The sequence below is a fragment of the Homo sapiens genome, chromosome 3, assembly GCF_000001405.40.
Source record: "Homo sapiens chromosome 3, GRCh38.p14 Primary Assembly".
Classification (NCBI taxonomy): Eukaryota; Metazoa; Chordata; class Mammalia; order Primates; family Hominidae; genus Homo; species Homo sapiens.
The window spans coordinates 84,842,330-84,865,500 of record NC_000003.12 but is presented as its reverse complement, the minus strand read 5'-3'; the positions used below and the strand labels follow the sequence as shown (position 1 = coordinate 84,865,500).

The 23,171-nt window shown below is 35.3% G+C and overlaps 1 long non-coding RNA gene across 1 annotated transcript in view; it reads left to right on the top strand.

The window, feature by feature from the left end:
- LINC00971 (long intergenic non-protein coding RNA 971) overlaps nucleotides 1-23,171 on the top strand; it is a 231,171-nt gene that overhangs the window by 4,075 nt on the left and 203,925 nt on the right. The window contains exons 4-8 of the long non-coding RNA NR_033860.1: nucleotides 1,496-1,795; nucleotides 2,065-2,285; nucleotides 2,680-2,778; nucleotides 5,578-5,686; nucleotides 11,486-11,559. This is a non-coding gene — a long non-coding RNA (long intergenic non-protein coding RNA 971). The remainder of the gene's footprint in view (nucleotides 1-1,495; nucleotides 1,796-2,064; nucleotides 2,286-2,679; nucleotides 2,779-5,577; nucleotides 5,687-11,485; nucleotides 11,560-23,171) is intronic.

Genomic DNA, 23,171 nt, shown 5'->3' with positions numbered 1-23,171 from the left:
TTCAAGATTTAATATATTTTAATGTAAAACATTATAAAATATAATTAAATTTATATATTTAATTTATACAGATTGTCAGTTCAACTACATTGATTGCCAAAATGCTACATATCTATGAGAATGTATATATTTATTTGAAAGTTAATTTATGCAAGTTCTGATAATGCATTTTTTATTACATCTGTGTGCAAAAAGGAACTGCTACCCTCTTTAGATTTTAGCTTAAGAAATAAACATTTTAGATAATGCCTAGCTTGAATCTGATTAACATGGTTTTCAAAGACGTTCTGCCTCATTCCATGTCAACATTTCTAATACAGAAATTCTCATAATTTGTATACAATTTAATATAATGCCCACTCTCAGAATTCTGAAATATCCAAGGCCAGAGCAATAATTTAAATTACTACTGCTATAGCAACTGATTCGCTTTCTGACTGAACCCCAGAGCTGGGTGAAATCCCACTTGTAGACTTCATTTTCTCTAGTATTTCTCTACAAATGAATTAGTCTCAGTTTGAAATTTCTGTCTTTCTCTCTGGTTATAACTCCATGAGGATAGGCTCTTTGTTGTTCTATTCACCCAGGGTCTAGCACAGTGTCTGATAAGTAGTAGATATTTGAGAACTGTTTATTAAATGAAGAAATAGATCATTGATCACAAGTTAGTGTACAGAAAAAAGGCAAAGATAAAGGACAACATTTCAAAAGTCAAATAAAGCACTAATTATTTCTACTATTTAATGCTTAGGTGCCCACATGCTTTCAATAAGACTCATATATTTTGATTAAATTGAATTTTATTTTTTATTTGATAGTATATTTACATGAGTCAAATCTCAGTAAAAAATATATATTTAGAAAACTTGATTGTGCCCATTTCCTTCTCTACCAAATTTCTCCCCTTCTATTCCCTAAAATGATTTCTTTCCTAATGCATAAGAGAGTCTTCCAGTGTTTCATGAAACCAATATGAAAATATACTTATTACCTCCCTTTAGATACATAAAATTAGATATTCTATTTATACTCTTCCACTCCTTGCTTTCATCTCTTAAAAATATACCCTGGACATGGTGTGCACCTATAGTCCCAATTGCTGGGGGACTGGGGCAGGAGGATAGCTTGAGCCCAGGAGTTCAAGGCTATAGTGTGCCTGTGAATGGTCACTATACCTCAACCTGGACAATATGCTCTGGAGATTGCTCCATATTGGCACAGTGAAAGCTACCTTAATCATTTTTATAAATACATATCATTCCATTGTGTGAATTTACAGTATCTAATTGAATTCATCCCCTTGTGTTTTTTCCATTGTTATACTCTAAACAATGCTCTGGTGATGTGCAACCTTGTCCACACATCATTTTTGACGTGTGCAGGCATGTCTAGATGATAAGCTCCCAGAGGTGGAATTGCTGAGCCAAAGGGTATATGCATTAGTAATTTGAATGATACCACTCCACAGCAATTTTACTATTTTGTGTTTCCACAGTGTGCTATTAATCCAGGTCTTCCAAGAAACAAATGCCAAGATGGTATTAAACATGAAATGATTTTAATTGTTTACATGCCTGAAAGTAAATAAAGAGGGTGCCAGCTAAGGCTGAAAAAGTCTTCAGTGATATAAATTTTACCACACTTAAAGAGAGAGAGGAAAAGTTTAAGTGGAAGCTCCTACTCAGCCATGCTGTCTAAGGAAGATTTGGCAAAACCTTGAGCTAAAGTCAGCCAACGGAAATCCCACCTTTCTCCAAAGAATGGATCTGCTTTACTATCTTGCTTGGTCTTATTGGTAGGAAGCAGCCAGGGGAACTCAAAGAGCAGCAGCAATATAATGCGGCTGGGTTCTTCCTAGTTGGAAGTTTGCTCTGTGTGTAAGACAAAGGCAAATATAAAATCAAAGGCCTAATTCTTCCTGTTGAAAATGGGAGAAGAGGTTTCCCTCCTCTACTTTTTCTTTTACAACATTATCTTCTTAGATTGCTTTTAATTATAAATATTTTCCAATTTATTTGAAATGTATACAAATATTTTCAAAGACTATATTGACTTTTTTTTCAGCTTTGTGACCTAGTAATATCTTTCTCGAGTGCATGAAACATCTCAGAAATGCAAACATCAAGGAAGATACTAATCCTTTCTTCCAGTTTCTGTGTGAGGGTTGGAGGCTGACTTTGGTGGTGATCTTGCTCCAAATTATAGAACTACATCCTGTCATGAAGAGAAGTTTGTCTTCTCGATAAAGCCAAGTAGCTAACAGAGATGGTCACCCCAATTACCAGGTAAAGTTAGTATGAATAATGTGTGACAAATGGTGTTGTCAAGTCCTCTTACTTGAAGACTAGTTATTGTTTATCTGGAAAACATGTCTGTAATTGGTTGTATCTTCTTGGATCTTTAAGAGGGTGAAATTTGTTTCTGTCTTTGCAATCACTTAGTGGACTGCCTGTGATGCACATCACATTCTGTTTTAATGCATTCTCAATAGCAAAAGCGTTTTCTTTGTCTACTACCTTTGTGGAGTAGATTTCTGGGTTGAGAGATTTGACTTTCAATTATATTTCCTCAATAGATAACACAGGCAGGTATTGGTGTCAATTTACCTACAGAATCATGAAAGCGCGTTGTCAAACTTTTCACTTAACTTTTCTAAGTGCTCAGTTTTCCTTCCATTAGATGGACATAATTATACTTGAATGCTGACCTACAACATTTTGTGCTGTGCAGAGGCTTTGAAAATCAAACAACTTTGAAAATACAAAGCACCGCGTGGATGTAAGTTTATTAAATTTTGTTTTCATCAACATTCAATTGAGGGTATCACTTCAGAAACATTATAAGATTTATTATTATCAATGCTTAGAATAGCATGAATATACTGGAGAGATTTATATATGATAAGTTTAGCACACTATGTTTACAACATACCCAAAAAAAGCACACTTGTTAGCACTTCAATTTAACATGAATGGAATTTGCATGAATAGATCGGGGGAAGCATTGAGTCCCTAGTAGCAGAGAAATACCAGGAAAAATACTAGTGATTTTGAGCAGCAAAAGGGCTTTGCCTGAATTAATAAATAAGCTATCTGGTGATGGTAATTATAGCATTGCTCTCTACCTTTGTATGACACAAATATATCTGGGAAGAGCAAATAGACATGAGTTGGGGAAACAGACTATTAATATAAAGTATCATGTAACAGATCTTAGTTGAAGCATTGCATTCACTTTAAATAGGGCAAGTAGAAAATTATGAATTTTATAACTCTAAAACCTTTTACTTTGCCCATTTGCCAAGTCCCAGTTTTCACATAAAACATTTTTCTTCTTGTTGAATTTACTTTCTTCACTTTGTTACGCTTAAACCAGCTTTGATGAAAACTATTTCCTATGATGTGACATAGGAGCTCTAGCAGAAGCTTGTTCACTTGTATGTAATATGAGCATTGCGCCGAGCAAACACCATTTAGATACTACCATTATTATAAGGCTCATTTAGATACTACCACTATTAGGCTCAGCAATCAAACAAACATTTACCTAGAGTAGAGGCACTAAAATGCATATTCACAATGGAAAATTCTCCATTCGAATTAACGCACACCTTAAAGACCAAACCTGGCACTGCATTCTATATATCTAGACTGAGATATGTGCCATTATCTTTATGCCTTTCCTGTTGTGTGTTTCCCTAGGGGCACATTTACCTGTTCTGCATTCTATCTTTGTTACTTTTTTTGACCTTTTCTTGCTTTCATTTTGCTTCTTTTGACTTACAAATCCCTTTCAATCTATAGTAAATGCAATGGATAAATAGCACAATTTTAACTTCTCACCCCTTTATTTTAAATACACCCTTTCTGCAAACTGTGGTAGTATTTATAGCAACACACCAATATTCTACTTTTCTAGGAGATGGCAGTCAATACTTTTGAAATTTTTAATCTTTTCCCATTCTACACAAAGGAAAACTACTTTGTTTTCCATTGAGTAGGAAAAATTCAAATGATAAGCATGTATATACAAACTTCTAAGACACTGAAATCTCATTTACTGTTAAAAATGGGGGTGTGGTGTTAATCATTTGTATTAATCGAGACTATTGAAACATTTTAACTATTATATGTGTAAAGGTTTCTTTGATTTCTAAAGAAATGCATTTCTAAAAGTCTTATGCTGTAAGGATGCTGGATGCGTAGTTTGACCAATTATGGCTCTTGATGTCGACTGAAGTGGTCACTTGATTCCTATTAGCGTAAGTATCTGTCTGTAAAGACACTTTGTAAAGGAAAGCCTTAATTTGAAAACAACAACACAATAATGATGAATATCTGTCTAATATAGAAATCTGCACATCAGAAAAAAAAAGCTATATATGTATCTGTTGATTTAGGAGGATCTTATAAAATGAACCACTTAATTCCAATTGTATTCCAATTCCTTCTTCCCTAAGAGAATGTTGAAAACATGACACTTACTGGTAAGTGACAGGTCTCCTCTCTGTCTTGGTTTAGATTCTATGCTTTTCATACAAGAGCTGAAGCATTCCTCATCTGGAGAAACAGGATCTCTTGTGATGAGGCTTTTTTGTATCACAGATCATATTTCACACTTCTTGTTTGTCAAATCTTTTTCACAGTTTATAATGCTCAAGCTTTATATTTTTAAAAATATTATGAGCACTTCTTACTTGACTTTTTTTTCAGTTGGAAAGACATTTTAATCTTTCCTTTTTTTTTTTTTTTTTTTTTTTGAGACGAAGTCTCGCTCTGTCACCCAGGCTGGAATGAAGTGGTGCAATCTCAGCTCACTGCAGCCTCCGCATCCTGGGCTCAAGTGATTCTCCCGCCTCAGCCTCCCGAGTAGCTGGGACTACAGGCATGCGCCACCAGGCTGAGCTAATTTTTGTATTTTTAGTAGAGACGGGGTTTCACCATGTTGGCCAGGATGGTCTCAATATTTTGACCTTGTGATCCGCCTCTCTCAGGATCCCAAAGTGCTGACATTATAGGCGTCAGCCGCTGCGCACTGCCAGAAAGACATATCTACATACTGCTTCCTCTCTCGTCATGGTGAGCAAACCGCAGGCAGGAAGTCAGAGTTTGACGTTGCTCCTCCTGAGGAGGGGAGAGCTGGAGTTCAGGAAGCCTCTTTATATCTAATGCTGCTTTCTGATTCTGTGCCTTGGTATTAGGAACTTGATTCAGCCCAATATATATTATTTAATAGCAATTCTATTTGGTCTCCATATGACAATGACTTTGCTTTATATCTCAACTAGTTCAGTGTTTGGGTTTAATTATTGTCAGAGGCAATATCATGAGTACACCCTAAAGGTACTGGCTCAATACATTTGCTGCATTCCCATTTAATACAACATGCTCGAAAAGTGCTTACTGCCAGTTACTTAATACAAGTAATATACAATCTAATATTTTACAGTCCAAAAAAATTGTTTAACTCCTCTTAATTTCATTTATGGGGGACCCATTCTGTTTAGATTACTGTGTAAATAATTTGATAATAAGTCAACAAATTTTTAGCTTTGGTTTTGTTTTTATTTTGAGACAGGGCCTCACTCTGTCGCTCAGGCTGGAGTGGCACGATCTTGGCTCACTGCAGTCTCTGCCTCCTCCTCTTGGATGCAAGCAATTCGGCCTCCAAGTAGCTGAGATTACAGGTGCGTGCCACCACACTCTGCTAATTTCTGCATTTTTAGTAGAGATGGGGTTTCACCATGTTGGCCAGACTGGTCTCCAACTCCTGGCCTCAAGTGATCCACTTGCCTCAGCCACCCAAAGTTCTGGATTACAGGCGTGAGCCATTGCGCCTGGCCTAGTAAACATATTTTTTTTAAATAAAAATGTTATTTTATCATTTACATAAGATCAAAAACATGTCTATTGGATTCCACCGCCCAGATCCTTACACTGTACATTCTATTTTGCCTCAAATTTGACTCTCTTCACTTGCTTTTAAGCTCTGGATGAGTTTGATTCCAACTAGTTCAAAAGAAAAATGGAGCATCCCAAAAGAACATAAAACTAATAAAAATCAACTTGTTTATGAATCTAAAATGATAAAAAGCAATACATTTAAAATAAAGGTTACTTTTAAAACATGATTTCATGTCTCAATTTTTCCAACTACTTGGAGATTCTTCTAGTATTAGCATGCCATTATTATTAGGCTTGACTGCCTACTGTGAACCACTGTGAAGCCCACAGAAGAATCTCACTACAGGCAAATGCAAATGCTGAGATTTTAATGACTGTTAAGTAAATTTGAACTTAAAAATAAACAACAGGCTTAACAGAGGCTTAATTATTGTCAGATGCAGTATTAAAAAAAAACAAAACAACAGAATTTATTTACCTACCTGTCATGAAAATATATTTCTTCTGGGAGGAAAATCTTATTTGTATTTTAAAATATGAGACCTGCCTGGCAAGCAGGTACTTCTCTGTTTAATTATTGATTACTTTCCTTTAGATATAAGATCCGTCTTGTAGATGGGATAAAATTAGACCATCAAACTACAAAAATGTAACATTCAGATATACTCCTCTTTGTCATACACATTCATGTGTCCAGCTTCTTCTGACACTTAATTTAAAATATTGGTTGATTTAGAACCTTATTTTTGTCTTTATTCTATTTGCTTTTGTTTTTTACTTATTCCTAATCTTGTTAGCTTGCTTTTTTAGAACTGAAGCTGCTGGATTTTTACTGATTATAATTTCATATTGATGTGTCTTGAGTACATGTACAAATACATAAACACATGAAAGAGCATAAATACCTTGTTTCACATTACTGTTTGATCGGTCTCTCTATCTATTTATCTATCTATCCATCCGTCTAGCTATGTATATTGTCATGTGTATAAGTGTCTATGTATCTGTCATCTATGTATCTAGACATGTAGATATGTATATAGGTATCTATGTATGTGTGTATAAATGCATCTGTGTATCTATGTCTCTGTCTACTATCTGACTTGCTAGCTGTGCATGCATGTATGTACCTGTCTATGTCTGTATCTATCTACCTATCATCTTTCTAAATTATAATTGGCAAGAAAGACATTGAATTGGCAGAAAATCTTAGAAATTATTTCTCTCAATTTCATCAGTTTACAAATGAGGAAAATGAGGCACAAAGATATTAATAAAACAGATGGTTTGTGATGTAATTACAGCCAAATGGAAGGTTTCCCAATTCTAAGGATATGAAATCCTTACATTTTTATCTTCTGCATAATGACCTCTGATGTCCAAATCAGAAGTTGCTTACCATACTGGTGAGCATTATTTCCACGTAGCGCTAGGCAAAGCCAGAAGTTAGAGAAGATCTCTCACTGCTGTAGTGTGCTAGGTATCTTTATTAGACCTTTCATCCATACTTTCCTTACCATTTTCTTTTAAGAAAATCCTCTTTTAAACATTTATTATAAAATACATACACAAAAGTGAACACATTATAATCATTCAGCTTGGTGAATATTTGCAAAGTGAATATACCTGCATAGTCACCACTCAAATCAAGATATGGAAGATTATCACCACTTTTAATTTTATATAACTTAACATATGCTATGTTATATAAATGAATGTCATATAAATTAAAAAATACTTTTTTTCATGTTTGACTTTTTTCACTAAGCATTGTGATTTTATCCATATTATTGGATGTTTGTTTTAATTTCATCATATATATATGCCACAGTTTACTCACTGATCCTACTGTTGGTGGATATTTGGGTTATTTCTGCTTTTGACTTTCGTAAATAGTATTGTTATCAGTATCCTGTACAAACCATTTCTACACAAAATAATACATTTCTCTATATATTGTTTGTTCTTAGGTTGTACCAGTTTGGGTAGAATATAACAGTCATATATCAATTGGCACTCTGAAAAGTAATATATGACAGTTTAGACTGCTTGATTTCTTCACCAGTATCTGGTCATATCAGTTTTTTATTTTTCCTTCACTGTTTTTGGGTTTTTTTTTAAGCCATTCTAATGGTGTATGTTAAAATATTATATTCTTTAAAATTTTTATTTCCCTGAAGACTATGTTGAATGCCCTTTCATTTTATATGCATATATATATGTATGTATATGTGTGTATATATATATATATACTTAACACTATCGAGATCTATTCTATGTTACTGTCTATCCAGATGTAGGTCCCTCCAGAATGCTCTATATAGCATGAATTTATATAACATAACGTGTTAAGTTATGTAATGTAACAGTGTTTTGAGTGATGATTATGCAGTGGTGGGCTCTATGTTGTACTGACTATACCAACAGACTCTCTTGTCTTCTGGGTTCCATCATTGAGGACCATTGACAGGGAATAAAAGGAAGGAAAGGAGATAGTTAAATCAACATTTCTTCTCTCTACTCCTATGGTTGGCTCATGATGTCCTGAACTTCCACTGATCTTTGGCATTACTACAAATGCCACTACTTCTGCTGCAGTAGTCTGACCTACCTCATCTTCTGCAAGCAGATTTGCCTCACGGCCCTCTGTCTCTAGTTTCCGGGTCACTGTTATCTCTCTCCCTCCAAATACCTAGAGTTGTTATGGGAGCCATTCTAGCCCCTGAGATTTCACTGTGTTTTGTGGGTTTCCTATTCCTCACTACAACTATGTGTGTGGTTCTTTTACTAAGCTCTTTCAATGTATTTAAATTTGAATGTACTATCTCTTTCCTGGTGGAAAGCTACATAATATGCATGGTTATATCTGAATTGTACTGAACATGTGTGGGAAAATGGTATATGAAAGAGATGGAAATTTTAAAATTGAGCAAAGGGTATCTAGTAGTAAATACAGTGTTTTAAAGCAGAATCCTCACCAGGACTTTAAGTGGTGAATGTAGTTTGCCAAGGTATCTTGCAATGTTTTAGCAAATGGAAAGATATTCTATTACACTGACATCTAAGGTTAAATCTTTAAAGATATTCTGGTTGCTTTTAAGATTTCATCTTTGTTTTGTAGCAACAACAAAATTGTAATTCATACATATTGTATGATCTCAAAGGAGTGCACACCAGATTTGCCTAATAATCTTACCAGAGTGCCTTAAAGTTCTATTTATTATATACTCATTTGTAGTAAAGTAGGAAATCTGACATTCTGAAATATTATCTTCTGAAAGAGGTGTACCACTGTCTTTTTATGTACTTTTAAGGCTTCTATCAGATACTATTAAATACATTGAAATCTGAGTGAAGTAAAATTCTTCCTTTTCAGTGAATAATAGCTTCCACCATAAATATCAAAATGGTATATAAAAACCAAACCATTCATATAGAGGAGAAGATTTAGAGATTAAAGTTTACAAATTTCCAGGAACAGTGACAGAAATGGTTTTAATTTCAGTCTTAAATGTCTTTAAGCCAGGAGATTAATCACTTTTAAGCATTTGTTTAAAATGGGGCCCATAGTTATGAAAAAAGCACTGCCTAACAGCAGTGCCAACTTGGAGCCAACTCAAGATGAACTGTAATAAAGTACTCCCATGATATAGTTAAACAGATCTAATACACAAGATAACAACTGGAGACAAATCCATGAGCTCATGAGCTCTTCACCATTCAGTTTAATTCCCCTACCCATTGCAATTTGGTGTCTACCTTAAATATTCCTTCAAAAAATGCTCAAAAAGTCCACAGTGGTTTTTTTTAACTGTGACATCTTCTCCACATTTCTGGCAGCAATTTTTGGGGAAATCATTTCACTCATGAAACTCAATAGTACAATTATCTAGTCCCTTAATTCTGCTTTCTCCTATCTGGCCACTCTTTTTTCCTTCTTTCCTGGTATACCTTTCACTAACTACCTCTTAAATATTTGTGTAATGCAGGGTTCAGTTTTTGGAACTTTTCTCTGCTCATTCTATATGATTTTAGAGGGCTAAGTTAATCCCTTCATAAGAGTGATCTTTTATTCCAGTGAATTTAAAAAATCTGTATTTATAATAACCCCCAATCATATAACCTGTGTTGTAATATAACATGTATTGTAAAATGGTTACAAGGTATATTTTACATAGACTTTAGTTTCAATACATCCAGGCCAAAGTCCTTATTTTCCTCTCCAAAATTGCTCTTTCCTCTTCAGCTTTCCTTTCAGTTAATGAAATCACCATTCAGTGAGTCACCCAAGCTAGGAAACCTCATTATGATCCTCAACTTATTCATTTATCTCCTCTCTCACATTCAATCAGTCAGCACATCGTGTTAATTCCGTCTCCTGAATAGCTCTGGAATCTGTCTTCTACCTCTCATTCCCACAGCTACCTTTCTTGTTTATAGGCTCATCATCCCTTTTTCAGCTTCTAACCATGGCATCCTAACTAACTTCCCCAACTCCTATGGTTGGCTCATGATGTCCTGAACTTCCACTGATTGTTGGCATTACTACAAATGTATAATTCTGAAACATAAATAAATCATATCCAACTCTTACTTTAAAAGCTTCAATTACAGAATTAAATACCTACTTATATGGGATCTGCCTTAGGATAAGCCAGAATTCCAAATGGTAATATGCTCTTTGAAAAGAAAATATAAGAGAAAGTTTCCTTTCACAGAAAAGCATAGAAAATGCATAAAGAGAAGCATCCTTATTAATTTTTAGTGCAGTGTTGAATTTTATGGCTTTTAGAATCATACACTGGTTATATTTAACCCTCAAGGATACAATACAAATTAATTATAGCTATTGTTCACTAATGATTTTCTCTTTAAATAAAATTATTCGATGGTCTCTCTCTCTTCCTCTCTCTCTCTCCCTCTCACACACACACATGCACACACACCTTTATAATTTATACATTATGTAAATGTATACACATGTGTATATACTGCTTAAGCAACAATCTCAGAAACAATATTTATGAATTCATAAAAATTTATGAATTCATTAAAAATGAGTCTAAACTAATTAGAAAGACTTTTTTTAGAAAGAACTCTTGGGGTGCATGGAAAAAATGAAAATTGTTTCTAATCAGCACTTTTCCTCTTAATGAATAGGGCCAATGAGTTGGTATTAAAATGTGCATTTATAAATAGGATTCTGCAAGCATGTGACATTACACACCTGCCCGACAGCTTTAAATTGCAAATGCAGTTTTTTCTTATCTTTTTCTATTTTGTATTTATTTATAGTAATTTATCAGATTATTTTTCTACGTGATAAAATTTCTATTACTTTCTGTTATTTAACATTCCCTGTGCTCTGCTTAATAGCAGTGTGCTGGCTAGCTTTGGGTATTAATAAATTATATCAAATAAAATGAACATGGTAACTGGCAACCTTATGAATTATTATTCCACTATATGTCTAGAAAATGCTTTGATTTAAAGAACCTGTTATTGCTAGAAAAGTTGCCTTTGCTCCTCTTTTTCTTTGTAAAATGTTTTAGTAATTTTAGGTTTCTGAATTATGCTTCTAGAGAGGCTGAAAACTCAAGAAATGTGGACTAAGTGTGTGGGCAAGTGTGTCACTGCTGACTAAAACTATGAACAGGTTTGTTTACCATGATTCTCTTCTATTAGGCAGTGAATGTGTGGCAAATTGAAAATGGCATGATTGATAGTTATGAAATAAAATAACGAATAGTTTTTTTGGTGTCCTCTTATTCTTTGATTCTATCAATAAAAAGAAGACTATTTCGAAGTTCTAAAGAATAGTTTTGTAGTATTTCATACATAACAATGCAACATTCTTAGGAGTATCAGTTGGCTCTCAGAGTGACAGTAACTAGAACATTAAAATATTATTTGATACATTTTTGGCTTTGAAACTGACATTCAAAGTATAAAGATGTCACTACAATGACTAAAATACAATCTAAAATCAATGCTTTAAATTATCATAATCAATGAACAACATTACTTAGATATGCGTTTAAACTAATGAATGGAAATGGGTAGATACTTTTATTTTGACATAGTTATAGATAATGCTTAGATACCTAAAAGAGTTTTTCTGACTTTTTCAAAAATGCAAAATGAAATAACATACAGCCAAAATCACAATTCAGGTAACCAGTGTCTCATTTCTGCATTTGTTCTATCAGAGCCTGAATCTGGCCAAATCTAGTGATGTTTATCAACTTAAGAGCTTCAGTGATGGAGGAGACAAAAAATTCTTCATAACATTACATTGAAGAATAAATCTTAGAACATGTTTTTACTTGCAGCCAAAGGGAAATACACTGCTCCAGTTGGCATAGTTTATAGCCCCAATACTTAATTATTATCTATGACTGAGCTTAATTGAAAGTCTAAGATAACCAGAATGTTTGCTTAACATTCCAAAATCAAGGAGTATTATAGATTCATGGATAATAAATGGTCCTGCAATAATGGGATTCCAATCTCACATAATACACAAAAAACAATTTCAGGTGGAATTTATGTTCACCAAAAGACACTTACAAAATGTGAACACTTGTCAACAATCCAAAAGAAGAGCTTACAATGCATAAAATTAACAGAGCATGTATCCAAAATAGCTAAAGAATAATTCTTATGATCAGTAGTTCATTATTGATCAATTCTTTGACTCTATCAATAAAAGGAAGACTCTTTTGAAGTTTTAAAGAATACTTTTGTAGTATTCCACACATCACATTGCAACAGTCTTATGAGTATCAGTTGGCTCTCAGAGTGACAGAAACTGGAACAGAAGGATATTATTTGATAATTTTTTGGCTTGGAAGCTGACAGCCAAAGTATACAGATCTTCTAACTATAATGACTAAAATACAATCTAAAATAAATGCTTCACATTATCATAATAAATGAAATGACAAAACAATTTCATAAATTTCACTGAAAAAGCAACACAACTAGCCCACAAAATTCATAAAAAGATGTTAAATTAATGAATAGTCAAGGAAATGAAAATTGAAACCACAATGATATGCAATTTTGTACTCAGCAGATGGGCAAGGTCAACTAATATCATCTTTGACATGGCTATTGGCTGGTGGGAATGGTAACTATTATAGCTACCTTGTAAATCAGTTTAGTGTGACCTAGTAGAGATGAACATGTATGCATATATTCTATAATTAGCAATCCTACTCCTAGTTAATCCCCCAGAAAAACTCTTGCACATGTATATTAAGATATATTTACAAAACTGTATCAGTTTTGTAAAAAACTGTTTTGTACAAAACTATCCTTAGGACCTACAAATGGTATGATAATTTATAGGATATTTGTACAATCACTTAGCATAGCAGTGAAAACAAAGACCTGGAGCCATACACATCAAAATAGATAAATTTAAAATCTAAATTTTGAGCTAAAAGAAGCCCCTCACAAAAAAATTCAAAAAATATTGTATGTCTTGGCCTAAATAATGGCTACTCAGGTATTTTTAAAGAAATTTTTGCTTATGTTCCTATGCCCACTTATTATGTATGTTATATTTTAGATTTTAAGAAATCCAACGTCTAGAAAGGTAATACTGTTTATGAAGGAGAAGAAAGCATAAGAAGGGAAAACATTTGGGAGATTTTCTCATGGAGTTTATTTTTAACTTCCCTTCAGCACCCTAGAATTTTGCTTTCTTTTCATGTCTAACTTGCAAAGCCCTCTATTACCTTAGCTCTCTTTCATATAGCTGTGAAGGTTTTACTAAATTAGTTAAAAAAAGCAAAAATGCTAGTACTTTATCTTCTCCTTGGAAACTTGAGCTTATAAGGTATCAGTGTTATTAATATTTAGTAATAGTGTGTGAACAATTGATAGGAAAGCATTGCCAGCAAGGTTGACCACACTGACATTGGTGGAGGACCCAGTGATGACAGAAATAAGCTAAACCTTGAAAATAAGTAACTCTAACTGAAGAAGCAATGCTGTTGATGGTGACTGTTGGTAAGGCTGACAACAAAAATTAGATGTATAGTGAGAAAAGGAGAAAAATAGCAGATAGTCTAGAGTAGATACTACATAAAACTTTTTAGGATTATTTCTTAAGGCCCAAGTGAAACAGTTCTTGGGGACTCCCAGTATGATAAGAAATTTGAAATTGTTTTGTTAAAAACAAACTGGATGGAGTAGCATCAGGTTTGGGAGGAGCTGCTGCTAATGATAATATATATATATTTTAAATGTATGTATTTTCTTACTACTTATACATTGCTTACATCCAAGTCACTATAGTTTTAGAAATATGTTAACATTTTAGAAAGATAAATCTCCTAATGTATACATATGTAACAAACCTGCACGTTGTGCACATGTACCCTAGAACTTAAAGTATATTAATAAAGAAAAAAGAAAGATAAATGTATTTCCCAGAGTAAACATGTTATAATGGTTTGGCTCCATATAGCCAAATAATATTGTTCAAAAGTTTTGGCATTGGCTTGATTCTATATACATAATTATAATATTGTTACCAGAAATAATGCATTTTGGGTATTAACTGAATTTATGAATGAATATTTGAAATATACCATATTTACAAATTGGGAGATGACCAAACATGAACATGGAAATTTACAGAGGGTATAATTTGTTGATAAACATTAAATAGAAAACTGGTGAAGCAGTCATGCATTGTAGCAGGCCATAAGGAAAAAGCAACGTGCTGGTTGAATGGAACTTTTATAGTCAGTTTGGGCTGCTACAATAAAGTATCATAGACTTGGTAACTTATAAACAACAGATTTATTCCTTACATTTCTGGAGACTGGAAGTCCGAGATTATGGTTTCAGCATGGTCAAGACTCCGGTGAGGGTCCTTCTCTAGGCTGCAACTGCTAACTTCTTGTTATATCCTCGTATGGGAGAAAGAAAGTGAGGCAACTCTCTGGTTCTTTTATAAGTTCACTAATCCCATTCATAAGGGCTCTGATAGGGTTTGGCTCTGTGTGCCCAAGCAACTCTCATGTCAAATTATAATCCCCACATGCTGAAGGTGGGGTCTGGTGGGAGGTGATTGGATCACAGGGGTGGTCTCTAATGATTTAGTGCCACCCCCCTACTGCTGTCTTGTGATAGAGTTCTCGCGAGATCTGATGGTTAAAAAGTGTGGCACCTCCCCCCTTGCTCTTTCTCTCTCCTGATATCTTTTAAGATATGCCTTACTTCCCCTTTGCTTTCCACCATGATTGTAAATTTCCTGAGGCCTCTCAGTCATGATTCCTGTCAAGCCTGCAGAACTGTGGTCAATTAAACGTCTTTTCTTCATAAATTACCCAGTCTCAGGTAGTTCTTTATAGCAGTGTGAGAATGGACTACTACAGAAAATTGGTACTAGAAGAGTGGGGCACTGTTATACAGATACCTGAAAATGTGGAAGCAATTTTGGAACTGGGTAACAGGGCAGTGGCTGGGACAGTTTGGAGGGCTCAGAAGAAGACAGGAGGATGAGGGAAAGTTTGGAACTTCCTAAGGACTTGTTGAGTAGTTTTGACCAAAATGCTAATAGTGATATGAACAATGAAGTTCAAGCTGAGATGGTCTCAGATGGAGAAGAGGAACTTATTGTGGCCAGGGGCAAATCTTGCTATTCTTTAGCAAAAAGACTGGCAGCATTGTGCCTCTGCTCTAGAGATCTGTGGAATTTTGAACTTGAGAGACATGACTTAGGGTATCTGGTGGGAGAAATTTCTAAGCAGCAAAGTGTTCAAGATGGAGTCTGGCTGCTTCTAACAGCATACAGTCACATGCATTCAAAAAGAAATGATCTGAAATTGAAACATACGTTTAAAAGGCAAGCAGAGCCTAAACATTTGGAAAATTTGCACTCTGACCATGTGGTAGAAAAGAAAAACCTATTTTGTGGGAAGAAATTCAAGCCAGCTGGAGAAATTTGCATAAGTAATGTGAAGCCAAATGTTAATAGCCAAGAAAATGGAGAAAATGTCTCCAGGGCACTTCAGAGATCTTTGAAGCAGCCCCTCCTATCACAGGCCCAGAGTCCTAGGAGGAAATAATGGTTTTGTGGGCCAGGCCCAGGGCCCTGCTTCTCTGTGCAGCCCCAGAACATGACACCTTGTGTCCCAGCCCCTCCAGCTCCAGCTGTGGCTAAAAGGCACCAAAGTATAACATAGGACATTGCCTCAGAGGATGCAAGCCTCAATCCTTGCCAGCTTTCATGTAGTGTTGGGCCTGTGGGTGCGCGGAAGGCAAGAGTTTGGGAACCTCTTTCAAGATTTCAGAAGATCTATGGAAATGGATGAATGTCCAGGCAGAAGTCTGCCATAGGGGCGGAGCCCTCATGGAGTACCTCTACTAGGACAATGCTGAGGGAAAATGTGGGGTTGGAGTCCCCACAGAGTCCCCACTAGGGCACAGCCTAGTGGAGCTGTGAGAAGAGGGCCACAATCCTTCAGACACCAGAATGGTAGCTCCAGTGACAGCTTGCACCATCTTACTGGAAAAGCCATAGGCACTCAATGCCAGCCCATGAAAACAGCTGTGGGGGCTGTACCCTGCAGAGTCACAGACGCGGGGCTGTCCAAATCCTTGGAAGCCCACTCCTTGGATCAGTGTGGACTGGATGTGAGGCATGGAGTCAAAGGAAATTATTTTGGAGCCCTAAAATTTAATGACTGCCTTGCTGGGTTTTGGAATTGTAGCCCAGGAACCTGCAGCCCCTGTGTTTTGGCCAATCCCTCCCATATTAAATGGGAGCATTTACCCGGTGTTTATCCCCCCATTGTATCTTGGAAGTAACTAACTTGTTTTTGATTTTACAATCTCATAGGCAGAAAGGACTTGCCTTGTCTCAGATGGGACTTTGGACTTGGATTTTTGGGTTAATGCTGGAATAAGTTAAGGCTTTAGGGAACTGTTGGGAAGGCATGATTCTGTTTTGAAATGTGAGAAGGACATGAGATTTTGGAGGGGCCAGGGGCAGAATAATATGGTTTGGCTTTCTGTTCCCATCCAAATCTTATGCCAAGTTGTAATCCCCATGTGTTAAAGGTGGGGCCTGGGGGGAGGTGATTGGATCATGGTGGTGGTTTCTCATGGTTTAGTACCATCTCCCTAGTGCTGTCTCAAGATAGAGTTCTCACAAGATCTGATGGTTTAAAAATGTGGCACTTGGCCCCTTGCTCTCTCTCTCTTTTGCTGCAATGTAAGATGTACCTTGCTTCCCCTTTGCCTTCAGCCATGATTGTAAGTTTCCTGAAACCTCCAAGCCATGCTTCCTGTTAAGCCTGTAGAACTGTGAGTTATTTAAACCTCCTTTCTTCATATATTACCAAGTCTTAGGTCATTCTTTATAACAGTATTCAAATGAACTAACACAGGCTCCAACCTCATGACCTAATTTCCTCCCAATGGTTGGGGATCAGGATATCAACATATAAATTTGGAGGGGGAGGATAGACAGACCAATATTCAGTCCTCAACAGCACACCTTCTGAGGAATGGAAGTGATTGCCTCCCACTAAAAAGGGGAAAAATGAGATATTTACCTAAAAAGCGAGAAGAAGATATGCTGAATGATGTAAACTCTCCATCCCCAGATGAGATGAGGAAGTGTTCACTGACCAAAGTCCTGGATTCAGAGAGAGAGAATCAAAACCAAGAAACTAAGGCAGTATAGAACCCACGAATGTCAAAACAACAACAATAAAAAAATCAGTAGTGATTCTGAGAGATATTAATTGTGACGAAAGCTTTTGTTGTTTATTTTTCTTTTGTTCTTGTTTATTTGTTTTTGTTTTAAAGAAGTCTAAAAAAATTTCTCATATAACCCACTACAGTTAACTTCACATTTTATAGACTCTCATAAGATTAGGTACTTGACAAAATGACAGCATTTAGCTTTGCCAGTTTCATAAATGCAAGTCACTGAAATAATGTTGCTTCTGTTAATTAAGTTTATTAATACAATTTCATGGTAAGAATACCTGTTCTGAATTTCAGATTTCTATCACTACCCGAGAGATAGAAGGTTTTTGAAGGAGAAAGTAAAAAGATATGCCAATTTGGCAATGTTTCATGAAACTAAATGCCTGTGTAAATGCAGGAAAATAATATACTAACACAGGAATGATCTATGTAGACACATTAAAATTCAAGAAACATATTAGCACAATTACATAGGACTGATTAATAAGCATCACACAAATATAGAGAAATAGAAGTGAAATTAAAATAGTATTTACTGTGGCTCTTATTCATAATATTACAATTTTAAAACATTCATATTTAAAAGTTAATATGGTTATGTTATCCAAATATTTTTAGTTTCCTAAACAACAACAAAAGAAGCTACTTCTTTTAGACTTCTTTCATATAAATGATATTGATTATGAAGCAATTTTATCTCATAATTAATTATTTACTTTGTAAAACAAGTATGTCTGTATCATATAGATTTTAATGTAGATCAGAATTCAGATTCATATTATTTGTGGTTAGTTTTTTAATATAACTGTGAACGTACATGTGTTAACAAAATTCTTTCTACACATGTTTATTCCACAAGTGTATACTTAAAATCAGACATGATTTTGTATGTTCATGATACAGTAGTGAATGAAATAAATTCCCTCCCTTGTATATTTTATACTCTACTTTATAAAGTTTTTTTAACTTGTATTTTCTTAAATTTGTAGTCTTCTATGGTGTTTAAAAATTACAAGTTACCTATCACCATCTATAATAAAGAAAAGTACAGAAATGTTATTTTTCATTGTTAGCATTAACGTAAAGAATAGCAATCACAATTTGCTCTTGCATAGTCACTTTCATTCATGATTCTCAAAGAATAACATTTTATAGCACCCAAGAGAGACAGGGAGGTATTATTATTTCAATTTTACAAATGATAAAAATGTGTCATGAAAGCTGAATTCAGAGTTTCCTCCATATCTCAATAGAGCTCTTAAGAAACCCCATAGCTATGGCAAGGTTTCAGTTTACGTATTGTTGTGTACCTCTGTGGCTATGGCACTGTTTTCATTACTCAAGGTAGACATTCTTTGGTAAATGAAATAGAGCAAATCTTTATGGGGACTGAGTTTTCGAACAGTGTTATACAGTTGATGGAACCTTCCCAGCAAATTGTATAGTAAAGGCAGACTGACCCATGCTCATTTCTTATGTCATTTCCACATAGAAACGTAAAGCCACATATACATTTGGTTCAGAGAAAACAGATCATTTTGCCCAAGACCTTCTTATTTCATAACTTGGAAAACCCAAATAAAATTTTAAATACAATTTCCTCAACACAACAAAAAATGATAAACAACAACCAACAAAAGAACAAGCAAGCAAAAACAACTAAACATTTTTTACAATAAACAAATACTTGCTCTATCCTAAAGAATACATTAATGCTCAATTAACTCATAGTATAAAAAGGTAGCCAATTACATTAGTGAGCAGACAGAGATTTAAAAACAAACAAGCAACAAACAAACATGCCAGGTGATTCAATAAACAGACTATTGTAACAACTATCATTATAATGTTAGAATAGCTGAAACCAACCATGTAGGAAGGAGAAGCAAGCAGAAGTCACTGAAAGAAGCCTCTAAACCAAGCTCTGGAGGGGGTGTTGGGAGGAGGCTGTATAAAAGCCTGAGCTGTCAGGTTGAAGCCATGGAAAAGACACAGCCAGTGCTCTTTGATAACAATTCAAATAGGACACAAATATCTTCATACTCTGTCCTCTTTCTGAGAGGTCAAAAACAAACGCTTCTCCTCCAGATCTCCTTGACACAAATCTTATAACTGGGTTTCTCCAAGTTCCTCACAAATTAACCAAACGATTAGCCAATGCACATGAATAAGTACTATGAAATATTTTTCCTTTCATGCCAAATGAACAACTAGATGTGTTGTTCGAATTTCACCTCACTGGGAGTGTTTTCTTTTAGGGACACATTGACTGGATTATTGAAATAGGTTTTTAACTATGAACTGGTTTTCTCCAGATTGCACCTCATATGTCATTTTTCCTCCTTGAGTTTGCTTTGTATCCTTTCACTGTATATGTGTTTCCTGTCTCTACCTCTTATTCTTATTTTCCACATGACAGCCAGCGTCATCACTTTAGAACATAAAGTATATCATGACAGTCCTGTGCTCACAACTCCAGAGAAGTTCCCACTCACTCACTCGCTCAAAAAAACAAAAACAGAAACAAAGCCCGAATCCTGACATGGTCAAAAGATCACTTGTAATCTAACCTTTCACTATCACTGAACAGTCTCGTAGCACAGGCATACCTTGGAGATATTGCAGGTTTGGTCCTAGACCACCACAACAAAGTAAGTATCATAATAAAGTGAGTCACACAATTTTTTTTGTTTGCTTGTACATATAAAAGTTATGTTTATACTATACTATTCTCTATTATAGCAGTCCCCAACATTTTGTTACCAGAAACTAGTTTTGTGGAAAACAATTTTTCCATGGATGGTGCAAGGAGGATGGTTTTGGAATGAAACTGTTCCACATCAGATCATCAGGCACTAGATTCTCATAAGGAGCACACAACCTAGATTCCTCGTACGCATAGTTCATAGTAGGGTTTGCTCTCTTTTGACAGTCTAATGTCGTGGCTGATCTGACAGGAGGCAGAGCTCAGGTGATAATGCTTGCTGGCCTGTGGCTCACCTCCTGCTGTTGAGGCCCAGCTCCTAATAGGCCACAGACCAGTATCCATCTGCTGCCCAAGGGTTGGGGACCCCTGCTCTGTTAAGTGTGTAATAACATTATGTCTAAAAAAGAATGTACGTACCTTAATTAAAAATACTTTGTTGCTAAAAATGCTAACAATCTTCTATACCTTCAGTATGTTATCATCTTGTTGCTAGTAAAGTGTCTTGCCTCCAAGTGGATGGCTGCTGACTGGTTGCTGAAGATTTGGGTGGATATGGCAATTTCTGAAAATAAGAACGATGATGAAGTTTGCCACACCAATTGACTCTTCCTTTCACAAAAGACTTCTCTTTAAAACTTGATGCTGTTTGGCAGCATTTTACCCACTATAAAACTACTTTCAAAATTGAAGTCAATCCTTTAAAGCCTTGCTGCTGCTTGATACACTAAGTTTATGTAATATTCTAAATCCCTTGTTGTCCTTTCAACAACGTTCACAGTATCTGTACCAGGAGTAGATTCTATCTCAAGAAACCACTTTTTTGGTCCCTCGTAAGAAACAACTCCTTATCCATTCAAATTTTATCATGAGATTATAGCAGTCGTATCTTCAGATTCCACTTCTAAATCTAGTCCTTATGCTATTTCTACCACATCTGTAGTGACCTCCCCCATTTAAGTCTTGAACCCTTCAAAGTCACCCATGAGGGTTGAAATGAGCTTCCCACTAACTCCTATTGATGTTGACATTTGGATCTCCTCCCCCATGAAACACAAAAGTTCTTAATGGCATCTAGAATGATGAATCCTTTCCAGAAGGTTTTCAATTTACTTTGCCCATATCTATCAAGAGAATCACTATCTATGGCAGACATAGCCTTACAACATATATTTCTTAAATAATAGACTTAAAAGTAGAGATTTCTCCCAGATCCATGGGCTGCAGAATGGACGTTGTGTTAGCAGGCATAAAAAGGACATTAATCTCCTTCTGCGTCTCCCTCAGAGTTCTTAAGTGACTAGGTCATTGTCAATGAGCAGTAATATTTCAAAAGAAATATTTCTTTCTGAGCAATAATTCTCAAGGGCGGGCTTAAAATATTTAGTAAGCCATGCAGTAAGCAGATGTGCTATCTTCCAGGCTTTGTTGTTGTATTTATAGAGCACAGGCAGAGTACATTTGGCATAACTTTTAAGGACATTAGTATTTTTGAAATGCCAAATGACCATTTGCTTTAACTTAAAGTCAACAGCTTCATTAGCTGCTAATAAGAGAGACACCTTTTCCTTTGAAGCTTTGAAGCCAGATGTTGATTTCTCCTCTCTAGCTATGAAAGTTGTAGATGGCATCTTCTTCAAATAGAAGGCTGTTTCATTTACATTGAAAATTTGTTGTTTAGTGTAGCAACCTTCATTAATAATCTTAGCTACATCTGGTAGATAACTTGTGACGGCTTCAACATCAGCAATTGCTGCCTCATCTTGCACTTTTGTGTTACAGAAACAACTTTTTTTTTTTCCTTAAAACTCATGAAGGATCCTCTGCTAGCTTCAAATTTTCCTTCTGCAGCTTCTTCACCTCTCTCAGCCTGCGTAGAATTAAAGAGAGTTAAGGCCCTCCTTGGATAAGTCTTTGGCTCAAGTGAATGTAGCTGGTTTGATTTTCTATCCAAACCATGAAAGCTTTTCCCATATCAGCAATAAGCCTCTTTCGGTTTCTTATCATTTGTGTGTTCACCAGAGTAGCATTTGCAATTTCCCTGAAGTTTCTGCCTTTGCATTCACAACTTAGCTAACTGTTTGGCTCAAGAGATGTAGCTTTCAGCCCATCTTGGCTGTTGACATGGCTTTCTTTACTAAGCTTAATCATTTCTAGCTTTTGTTTTAAAAGTGAGAGACCTGCAACTCTTCCTATTACTCAAACAGCTAGAGGTCATTTTGGGGTTATTAATTGGCTTAATCTCAATATTTTTGTTTTATGGAGAATAGGGGGCCCAAAAAGAGAAAGCAAAATGATAGAAAGGCTGGTGAGTGGAGCAGTCAAAGCACACAGCACTTATTGATTATGTTTGCGTCTTACATGGGTGTGGTTTGTGGTGCCACCAAACAATTAAAATAGCATCATTAATCACTGATCATAGATTACCATAACAGATATAATAATAATAAAAAGTTTGAAATATTGCGAGAATTATCAAAATGTTACACAGAGACATGGCAATCACGTGCTGTCAGAAAAATGGCACCAATAAATTTGCCGAATGCAGGGTTGCTACAAACCTCAATTTGTAAAAAATACAACATTTGTGAAACACAAGAAAACAAAGTATGCCTGTATTGTCAAAGTAAAACTTGAACTGGACAAAGTTAAATAGACAAGGATGATTTATTTTATTTTATTTTATTTTATTTTATTTTATTTTATTTTATTTTATTTTATTTTATTTTTTTTTGAGACAGAGTCTTGCTCTGTCACCCAGGCTGGAGTGCAGTGGTGTGATCTCTGCTCACTGCAACCTCTGACTCCCTGACTCAAGTGATCCC